The sequence below is a fragment of the Homo sapiens genome, chromosome 18 (assembly GCF_000001405.40).
Source record: "Homo sapiens chromosome 18, GRCh38.p14 Primary Assembly".
Lineage (NCBI taxonomy): Eukaryota > Metazoa > Chordata > Mammalia > Primates > Hominidae > Homo > Homo sapiens.
Window position 1 is genome coordinate 47140973 of NC_000018.10, and position 11378 is coordinate 47152350.

At 41.1% G+C, this 11378-nt stretch overlaps 1 protein-coding gene across 7 annotated transcripts in view, besides 1 other annotated feature; it reads right to left on the bottom strand.

Annotated features, from left to right (window-relative positions):
* The window catches only part of HDHD2 (haloacid dehalogenase like hydrolase domain containing 2), a 43091-nt gene extending 33563 nt beyond the window's left edge, over positions 1-9528 (bottom strand). For 6 of the 7 annotated variants that reach the window (NM_032124.5, XM_005258371.5, NM_001318765.2 and 3 more), the window contains exon 1: positions 9406-9528. The gene's annotated coding sequence lies outside the window, so the exon portion shown is untranslated. Of the gene's footprint in view, positions 1-8076; positions 8137-9405 lie in introns of all 7 variants that reach the window. The other variant, XM_011526228.4, reaches the window with a different exon arrangement.
* Positions 8937-8996: an enhancer, noted in NCBI's record as "active region_13284". NCBI's record gives its function as "activates an Ori minimal core promoter by ATAC-STARR-seq in GM12878 lymphoblastoid cells {active_cell/tissue: GM12878}" and the evidence as "EXISTENCE:reporter gene assay evidence [ECO:0000049][PMID:35858748]".
* Positions 9529-11378: the final 1850 nt, after the last annotated feature.

Below are 11378 nucleotides of genomic sequence, written 5' to 3' on the forward strand. Positions count from 1 at the left end.
ATTTTCTGTTTTATTATTCTAGTTAGGAACTCCATAATTGAATAGAAGTAGTGATAGCATGCATCCTTATTCTGTTCTTGAAAGGAATGCTTTTAGTATTTAAACATTAAGTAAACTTACTGTAGAACTCTGCTGATATTTCAGCCATTTAAGAAAGTTCCCTTCTATTCCCAGTTTGCTAAAAATTTTTGTCATAAATGGCTATTGGATTTTACCTACTACTTTTTCTGTATCCAATGAGATGATCACATTTTTTCCCCTTAAGCTGTCAATGGGGTCAATTAATGTTAAGACAATCTTGCACAAATCCAATGCAGTCCTGATATATTATCTTTTTTTACTTACTGCTAGATTCAAATACTAAAAGATAAGAAACAACCTAAATGACCATCAACAGAAGGCTAGTTTAATAAATTATGATATTTGCCAGGTTTTTCCACATTCAGTATTTTTCCCTTTCACATTTTATTCTTTGGGGCTGAGTCATTAAAGAGGGTAGGGAGGAACTAAACTCCACCTTCTAAAAACAGGAGTGTCCTCATATATTATTTCAAATTCTTCTGTGAGAAAGACTTGTTCTCCATTGATTTACTCAATCATTTATTTTATGTAATCAGTATGGGCTCACAGATATTTATTCTATTCTTTGTGCCATAAGCTAATACTATGTCATTTAGTTTGTTGCTAAAATTGTTTTAGCTTTGGCCATTGAGAGCTCTCTCAGGTTGGCTCCTGTGCCTCCATCCTTTTGTTTTTTGAGCACTTCTTTGCTTTTGGAACTACATGATGCTCCAGACTCATCTTGTCTTTTCCTGTAAGCTGATAATTGATTACATTTTGATATGGTTTGGCTGTGTTCCCACTCGAATCTCATCTTGAATCGTAGCTCCCATAATTCCCACGTGTCGTGGGAGGGACCCAATGGGAGGTAATTGAATCATGGGGGTGGGTTCTCCCATGGTGTTCTAGTGATAGTGAGAAAATCTCCCAAGATTTGATGGTTTAATAAAGAGCAGTTCCCCACACATGCTCTCTTGCCTGCCAGCATGTAAGACATGCCTTTGTTACTCCTTTGCCTTATGCCATGATTGTGAGGCCTCCCCAGCAATGTGGAATTGTGAGTCCATTAAACATCTTTCCTGTATAAATTACGCAGTCTTGGGTATGTCCTTACAGCAGCGTGAGAATGAACTAGTACAGATTTTTAGATGATTGGGAAAGAAATCAAAAGAATAATATTTTGTGATACCTTAAAATAATATGAAATTAAAGTTTTAGTTCCATAAATAAATGTTTTTCATTTCATAAAAAAAAAAAAGTTTGTAGAAAAAAATTTTCTTTCCTGTTAACTAGATATCTACCTAATATTCTCAATTTTACTTTTTGGCCTGCAAAGCCTTACTATCTGGCCCTTTACAGAAAAAGTTTATTGACCCTGTGCTAGGGGAGGAGATTCCTACTGGAGAAGAGTGGCAAAAAAACCCCAAAAAACCCTAAAACCAGCAAGCTAAACACCCTTAATTCCACTTACAGAGACATACACATAACATTATGCCCCATATGGTCACAGAATGTGAGTACATACGTTCTCATAAAGAAAAAACTTGTATATGCTTCTATTTAGAAGTGTGAGGGCAAAAGTGGGCTTTGAGGAGAAAGAAAAATAATGAGGAAAATACATGTGATTATATAAGAATAAGAGAACAGACCATAAATATTTAAGTAATGAACAAAAAAAACATTACAGCTACACAGGATCTTCGATTATCTGCTCTCGAACCACCCCTCACCCCTTTCTACACACACTGGTTTTACACCTTAGTTGGGAAAACCAAGGTCCAGATAATGTCTATATAGATATTACCTTCTCTTGAGAATGATGGTGCTCAGATGAAGAAATTACTAACAAAGATTTGTTACTAAATTTGCCTTCTAACTTTTTCTAAAGGTTCAATGCGCCTGACAAACTACTCTTAAATGAAACAGAATTTACCTCCCTACACAGAATATACCAGACATACCACACAAATATTAAATAGATCTTTGGCACATTATTTATAATAAACCTGTTATATTAATGGAAATAATGTTATTAATAATGTATAAAATTAGATATACAACAGGAATAAAAATTTAATGAAAAAATTTAGAAGCACGTGTCCAAGAAGCTATTTTTCTCTTTTAAAAGAAGATTGTTGGCCAGGTACAGTGGCTCGCACCTGTAATCCCAGCACTTTGGGTGGCTGAGGTAGGAGGATTGCTTGAATCCAGGAGTTCGAGACCAGCCTGGGCCATAAAGCGAGACCCCCATCTCTATAAAAAATAAATTAAAAAGTAGCCAAGCATGGTGGCGTGTGCCTGTAGTCTCAGCTACTGGGATTGCGTAAGCCCAGGAGTATGGGGCTGCAGTGGGCTATGACCATGCAGTCAGGGCAACACAGTGAGACTATATCCCTAAAACACACACATATATATATATTTGTATTCTACTAATATTTCCTCATCACACTAAAGACACAACTACTCATGATGCTTAAGAAATAATGCAGTGTTCTAGTAGAGTTATTTTTCCAGTTAACTGAAGGTAACTAGAAATGATAAGAAATGTTTATTTCAAATAACTATTACTCAAAACGTTTTGGGATTTTTCTCTTTAGGAATTACCATCAATGTTAGCATATGAGCCATACATGAAAATCAGCCTCATTAACCAATGGCTCCATTTTATTTTTAACTCCAAGTGGCATTACTCTCCTTGACTACCCATCTCATTCAGCAGGCTTTATTCTGACACTTTCAAAATTATATCCATCTTTAAAGCATACAAATTGTAACCAATAAAAATATCCCAAAGAACATGTACTAGCTCAGAAAGCAATTCCAAAATAGGAGTCCAAAAAGATCTTGAGCAATGTAGAAGCTTATCGTTTCCTACCCTGACTACTTTGAAAGAGTAAACATTTATTGATGAATAAACTCTGGTATGCTTATTTTTAAAACTCACTTTAAACTTGGGCTTCCATAATATAGCAGGCTAAGAATCAAATTAACTCTCCAAATAAAGCCTAACAATACTAGATAAAAAATTATACACATGTGTGTGTGCACGTCTGCACGCATGCGCATGTGTGTAAGCCACAAGGTGCAAGGAAAAAAAGAATTGTTAGATCTGAATAAAAGCAAGAAACTCAGGAGATGAGCAGAACCCTGTGGCCTGTTTTGGCTCCAAACGTATCTGTCACACTATGTGACCTTAAGTTATCTTTTTCCCCATGGGCCTCTTCAGGGAATAAAAGATAAACTCAGAGCCCATCTGAAGAGATAGATCCTCTGACCTAAAAACCAAGACCTCACTGTAAGGGTGAGCCAGAAATAAACTATCCCAGGCACTCCCTCTCTACCTTGTCTCAGTTGACTACAAGAAAATCAACTGCTTTGAAACATGGCCCAAAGGGGTGGTAGGTATAAAGTGCTGCAGAGAATTTGGAACCATAAACCAGTGCTGGACCCAATTTGCAGACCAAATTCACATTACCTAAGATAAGCCTCAGAAAAACTTCAAGATTGTAATTAGCGTGACCTTGACTAGCAGGTGCCTGGCTACAGCAAATATAAACCCTCCCTCAAAATACTAGTTTTCAGCCCAAACAGCAAAGAAATCCCATAAATAAAATCAAATAGCCAAGCGTGGTAGCATGGGCCTGTAGTCCTAGCTACTTGGGAGGCTAAGGTGGGAGGGACTGCTTGGGCTCAGGAGTTCAAGGCCACAAAGAGCTATGATAGCACCACTGCATTCCAGCTTGAGCAACAGAGCAAGACCCTGTCTCAAAAAAAAAAAAAAAGAAAAGAAAAGAAAAAAAGAAAAAAAAACAACACAAAGAAATCAAATTATAAGAATGATGAGCAAGTAACCTAAGGAAACAAGCCATGGTAAGGGAGAACCTACACAAACAACAGACTGCATAAGCAGCCCTATAAGGGCTTCTTATTCTTCTAATGTAATTATCATAATGCCTACATGTGTAAGGAACAAAAGGCAAGATCAAAAATATGAGGAGAAAACACATGAAAGACTATCAGTGTGCAAATTCAGAAGGCCCAACGAATTCTAAGCAAGATAAATGAAAATAAATCCACATCTAAACCCTTGCTATACGCCAATGGCAAAGAGAAGATCTTGAAAGCAGCCAAGGGAAAAGACAAATTGCTTTCAAAGGAGCAACATTTAGACTCAGATTCAATGCAACTCCAATCAATATCCCAAAAAGTGTCTTGTGAATTTGATAAGCTGATACTAAAATGTTTACACCAGTACAAATGGCCAAGTATAGCCAAGACACTTCGGCCAAGACCAAAGAAGAACAAGAAAGTAGGCGTTGCTTTACCTAATATCCAGACTTACTTAATGAGGTCTTGTAATTAATTAAAATGGTGTGGTATTAGTACATATGGAGACGAACTGATCAATGGAACAGAAAATACAGAAAAAGGTCCCAATATGTGTAGAAAATTCATATATGATAGAAGTAGTGTTTCAGATTAGTAAAGAAAAAATAAAATGATCAATAATATGGTGTTGGAACCATGGAATATCCACATGAGAAAAAATGAAATTGGACTCCCACATCACACTATACACAACAATTTTCTTTTCCAAGGAGATTAAACAACCACATGTTTAAGGCAAAACTAAAACTTTTAGATAGGAGAGTATCTTCATGACTTGAGGACAGAAAAGGCTTTCTAAAATGAGACATAAAAAGCACAAACCATTGAAGAAAAGACAGATAAATTCAACTATATTTCAAAAGCACCACAAAGAGAGTGAAAATACAGAAAAAGAACTTATTTTTCTAACACATGTGGGAAAAGACGAGATTCCAGGAAGTATAAAGTATAAACATTAAGAAAAAGATGAACAACCCAATAGAAAAACTGCATAAGATCTTAACGTAGCCTTTACAAAAGAGCAAATCTGGCCGGGCACAGTGGCTCATGTCTGTAATCTCAGCAGTTTGGGAAGCCAAGGCGGGTGGATGACCCTAGGTCAGGCATTCAAGACCAGCCTAGTCAACATGGTGAAACCCTGTCTCTACAAATACCAAAATTAGCTGGGCATGGTGGCAGGCACCTGTAATCCCAGCTACTCGGGAGGCTGAGGAAGGAGAATCGCTTAAACCTGGGAGGCAGAGGTTGCAGTGAGGCCGAGATCACACCATTGCACTTCAGCCTGGGCGACAGAGCAAGAATGTGTCTCAAAAAAAAAAAAAAAAAAAGAGCAAATCTGAACAGCAAATAAATGAAGATACTCAAAGCTCATTGGTAATCAGGAAAATGCAAATTTCAAGCACAGTGAGATCAATGCACCAACCTACAGATGGGCAAAATTTAAGTCTGCAAACACCAAAGGCTGTCAACAGCAATTCCCACATGCTGCTAGTGAAAGAATATACTTGTACAAGCATTTTGGAATCAGTCTGGCATCACCATATCCTACAATCTGGCAGTTCGGCACTTCCAAGTATACCTTTGAGAGATTCTTTCACAGTGTACCATGATACATGAACAAAGACGTCTATAGCAGCACCATTTGTAACAGCCAGAAAATGGAAACAATACAAATGTCCATCAACAACAGAATGGATAAATAAGTTGTGGTATATTTACACACAGAAAAAAATGGCAGTAGAAAGAACTTACATTCACACACATCACCTTACACAACTCTCGGAAATCTACTAGAGGGTGAAAAAAGCAAGTCAAAAAAGAATATATACAGTATGGTTTCATATTATAGTACTCAAAAATACAGATGCATACATAGGTGATAAAACTGTAAAGAGAAGCAAGGGAATGATTACCACAAGAGTGGGGATAATGATTACCCTCCAGAGGACAGGAAGCAGATGCAAACCAAGAGGAGCGCAAAGGGAGCCTCTAAGGTCTGGCAATACTCTACTTCTTAACCTAGACAATGAGAATATGGGTGCTTTTAATTATACTATAATCATTTTAAACATATATGTTTTGTATACTCTTCTATAGATGATATATTGCACAATAAAAAATGAGTCTTATATTTTAGTCAGTTTTTTCTCATACATTTAATAGTTATAAAAAACTAAATTAGTCCAGTAGTCCAGACAATTACTATACACTCAGCATAAAAGCCTCCACCTTCAAGGCATTTTGAATTTTAAGTAAATCCCCGATTCTGTTTGTCTTTCATAATGTATCTGATGAAAGAGGGAAAAAGAAGACTGCAGAGGTTAAAAAATATATTAAGAGCTGTGGTTAATCAAATTTCAACTGCAAAATCCTACCTTCTCTAATAGTCCACATGTTATTCTATTTCTGATCTTTATTGTGACCTTGAATTGAAGGATTATATAAGCAAGAGCATCAACTATTACCTCCCTGAGACAGAAAACAGCTTGTTCATCAAAAGACTAGACCGTTCCTAGGGATTCCATTTGGATGTGTAATAGTTAAAAAATTATTTGAAGTACACTACAAAAGAATGGACCAAAAAAAGGCATTTTCTTTTCATATATACAGAGGAATCTAAAATTGCTTCTCTCAAAACCCAGCTTTTATGGGAGATATCTAATATTCAAGAAGAAACGTTACCTCTGAAGGTGATTAAAGAACAAATATGAACAAGACCAGAAAAGCAATGAAAGTAAGAACTGTACTATTTACTTGGAGCCAAGGAACTGTCATAATACATATTTATCATTTTAATCCTTACTGAAGCATCCACACAGGCTTAATGTTACCAAAACATTTTAAAAGCCTATATTCTTTGCTCTCACCAGTTCCATAGAACGTACCTTTTAAACTCTAAAATGCTCTTCTGGAGCACCACATATTTGAGAGTGACTGACTAAGGCCTAGAATAAAATTGAGGTGCCCCACTCATACCTCAAAATATACTTACTTCTTCAGTTAGTCCCACTAACTTGATCACTTGATCACTATGACCTCTCTTCTTGTCCAAAACTTTGTTTTTTCTTTCTTTTTTTTTTTTTTTGGAGACAAGGTCTGACTCTATCTCCTAGGCTGGAGTGCAGTGGCACTATCTCTCAGCTCACTGCAACCTCTGCCTCCCCGGCTCAAGCCATCCTCCCACCTCCGCCTCCCAAGTAGCTGGAACCACAGGTGTGCACCACCACGCCCACCTAATTTTTGTACTTTTAGTAGAGACGGGGTTTCACCACGTTGCCCAGGATGGTCTCGAACTGGTGAGTTCAAGTGATCCATCCGCCTTGGGCTCCCAAAGTGCTGGGATTACAGGTATGAGCCACCAAGCCTTGTCTGAACATGTATAATACTCGTTACCTGAACTACAAGCTGGTATTTGATAAAATGTAATTGTAAAATACTAATATAACCCTCAAAATAACTATAAAGGCTTCAAAGGTAGTGCCTGATTTTGTTTATCTTGAGTCCATACCCATCTCCCATAATCGGAACAAATTACATGGGACACCCCTTAGAAGAGCCATAAACCACTGACAGTGGTACATATTCAATGCAAAGAAGAAAAGCCATATTCTCTCATCCCAAGAGGAGAACTTCCAGATACTTCAGAGGACATCTGGGCTTGAATATCACTGGGGCATCTCAATCCAAGTCCTTTCACCCTCAAAGGTGCTCTTTCCCAGCCATCCTTATGAGTGGTTGGCAGCACCATCAATCCAGACACCAAATTATGTCAGTTCTACTTCCTTTACAGTCTTATATCCACTTACTTCTCTTCATCGTTTTTAAAACTACCTTTTTGAAGTTGGAAATCAACTCTCATCTAGACTATTTAAACAACTTCTTAATTGTCCTCTCTACTTTGCATCTCCTATTACCAGCCCTAAATTATTCCCTACAATGCAACAGTGCAGTGGTTAAGGACAAGAACAAAGGAGTTGTATAAATTTATAGCCTGGGTATACATCTCCACTCACTAGCTGGGTGAACCTGGGCAACCTTCTTAACCTTTTTGCCTCAGTTTCTTCATTGCTAATGTAGAAATAATAACACAACTCTAATGGTTGATAAGAGGATTAAAGAAAGTAATACCTATAAAGAATTGTGAATTGTGTCCCGCTCAGAGAAAGGTTGGGTTATGTATGTGGAGGGCTGGGAGAGAGAAGCAAGGAGGGAACATTATGGATATATCAAGGGCTACAAAAATCACAGGATACACATGATGCAAAGTTCTAAAGCATTAGTATAACTTGAGGATTTGAGAAAACACATCTAAATATATATTATGGCATATTATTCAAAACTTGCATACTTACAACAAGAGATTTTAATACAAATTTTCCCTTGGGAAATTGGGGCGCTACAAAACATGCCTCCTAAAACCCCTGGGAAGTACAAATTTTCTTTCCTTCCCTATATGGTTCCAGACTTTTCTGGAACCACTGTAGGCATTCAATAAATGACGGTATTATTCAGCCACTCCCCAGTTAAAACTCTTCCAGTGACTCCCCGCTGACCTCTGGATAAAGTCTGAACAATGAACACTGGTGGACAGAGTCCTGGTTTACCCTCTCCAACACATTTGTCTCTACTAGCACCCAAGTTCCATGGTACTGCAGGCGGCCAAGAGCTCTACACTTTGCCTCCCTCGTTGCGGGACTTTTGTCTGCAACTACTCGGGCCCCTCTACACCCTCATCTCCTGGCCAATCCCTTTAGCCCTCAGTCTCTGATAACCATCACTTCCTCTGGCGTGCCTCCTCTGGGTCCAACTCCTTTTCTCCCAGAGTTAGGCTAGGAGCCACCTGTGGTCCTACTACATTTACCACTGTCCTGGTTACCAGCCCGCGCCTCTCCTACTAAACTGTTAAGCTCTGTGCATAAGGGACTGTGTTGCCTTTCCCACTGGGTTATTTAGGCGTTCAATAAAGATCGTGAATTAACTCATGAATCCCGGTGTCCACAGCTGGAAGGCCCCAACAACAAACTCTTTCAGCACCAACTCAACTTCCATCCCCCCATCTCTTGGCTGGGAAGGGGCCTCAAGACTGGTCACTGCACTCGGTTCTAAACCAAGTACCAGGGCCTTAAAAACGCCAAACTGACCAGGAGGGACGCTAGCTCCAAAATACAGCCCAAGAGCACGCTTCGAGGAATGACTGACACACTAGCTTCACGATCCGCCCCGCAGAGACCCACAGCGCGCCTCGCGCCCAGCTATGCGCACGCGCGGGGCCACTGCAAAGAGGGCGGTTCCGACGCGGAAAACAGGGAATGCGCACAGAGCAAGAGCGCACGGCCCGGCTCGAGAGGAGGGGCGGCCTGGGGGCGCCACTAGTAGTTCCCGAACCCTGTCACAAAATCTGCAGCCTCCCGGCCCCAATTGCGCTTCTTCCTCTTCAGTCCTACAGCGGCTTCTCACCCACACTCCGTACGCCGTCCTCAGGAAAGGCCCCCGCTAATGGCAAAGCCAGCCACCCGCACTGGCCGCGGGTCCTCAGCCGGGATAGACAGCCCCGCTGCTGCCCGACGGACGCCGGAAGTTGGGCCCTGGCCGCGCCGGAAGCCCCGGATTTCCCGGCTCCGCCCCACCCCTTCGCCCGGGATTTCCGCCGAGGCGGTGCAGCTACCGCGCCGTGTTGTCCTCTGTCTGCACCGCCGCTGACGGAAAGCTAGGCCCTTCTGGAGACCCGCTTTCCCAAGGGCGCGGCCTCCTGGGCCGGGATGCACGAGGAAAAATAATCCCCTGCCTTTCTTCGGTAGCTGTTTTCCAGTCCACAGCACCACTGCTGAACCGAGCGTTACTGAGTAGCGTTCTTTGCCTTCACCCCTCCCTTCCTCTACCACTTGTCCACTCTCGAGGTTTAACTAAGAAGTCATACTTTACTAGACAACCCAATCTCAGAAGTCGTCATTTCCCCCTTAGCTACTTGAATAGTACCTGGCACCTCTTGCTTCCTCCATTAACTACTCCCTCGGGCAGCGACGTCCCTCCTTTCCCTCTTCTCTCCCGATTAGAGCCACTACGGGCCGTGCCTTCCTCTTCCACGGGAGCTCTATCTTGGTACACCCAGAACCACCTCCCTCCCTAACCCGCTGCCACACTCGTGGGGGTCTCTACCTGTCTCCTCTTGATCCAGGTAAGTTATGTGGACCTGAATAATAGAGTACAGAAAAGTCACTCTTATGCACTCACTATGAAAATGACTGAACAACTTTCTGGAGCCGTGTTGACATAATAGGATACTCACTCGGGTTACACCTTATACAAGGGTTATACCCCTTGATAAAACCACTGCTCTGTCCTTGACTAGGGACCCATATATGCCACCCGTATGCCACAATCTAACACCCCCACTACCCAAGGCTGCAGTCAGCCCTGTTAGGAGCTGTGACCCATTCTGTCCCTTGGACTAGGAGCCATCTGCTTTTCCTCCCCACTGGATCTGAAGTTTTTTTGTCTTACTCATATATGCTAAGTTTAAGTTTTCTGTGTGAGGGTCTAATTGGTTGAAGGAAAAAGGATTTGGTCCTAGTTTCCCCTTATGAGCCAGCTGTCTTTGACCAGATTAAGACATCACCAAAGGATTTTAAGTGGGTAATATAAGAAGTGTATTTTTCTAAATGCTTCCTCTGCCTGCAGTATGAATAGATAGGAGAGATGCCAGAATGGGTGAGACCAGATAAGAGACCCACTGCAGGGCCACAAGAGAGATACTTGAACTAGAATGTGTGGAAACAAAGCAAAGAGGATAAATTCATAGGAGGCAAAACAGAAACTGGTGACAGATTAGATTGGGGTTAGGGAGAAGGCATCAATTATCAGGCTCCAAGACTAGGCAATTGGGTAGTGTAACTGATTTTTTTTTTTTTTTGGAGACAGGGCCTCACTCTGTCACCCAGGATGGAGTGCAGTGGCACAATCATGGCTCACTGCAGCCATGACTTCCCAGGCTCAAGGGATCCTCCTGCCTCAGCCTCCCCAGACAGCTGGGACCACAGGTGCACACCACCACAACTGGCTAATTTTGATTTTTGTAGACAGGGTGGGGTCCCACGATGTTGCCCAGGCTGGTCTCAAACTCCTGGGTTAAAGCAATTCTTCCACCTCAGCCTCCCAAAGTGCTGGGATTACAGGCGCGGGCACCAATGCCTGGCCTCATTCAGATTATGTGGAATCATGGGACAGGACTAATGGCTTTCTCCTCTCCAAATGGATCTACTTGATGAAAGGCAAGCTAAGAAGAAATTCAGCCCCTCCAAAGGGAGGGACTGGATTCAGAAAAAAAAAAAAAAAAAAGGAGCGGGGGGGCAAAAAACCCAAAGGAGTGAAGCCATAAAGCAGTATCTGAACTGGAACAAAAACAGTAGGAAAAACTTATCTTGATCGTTGAT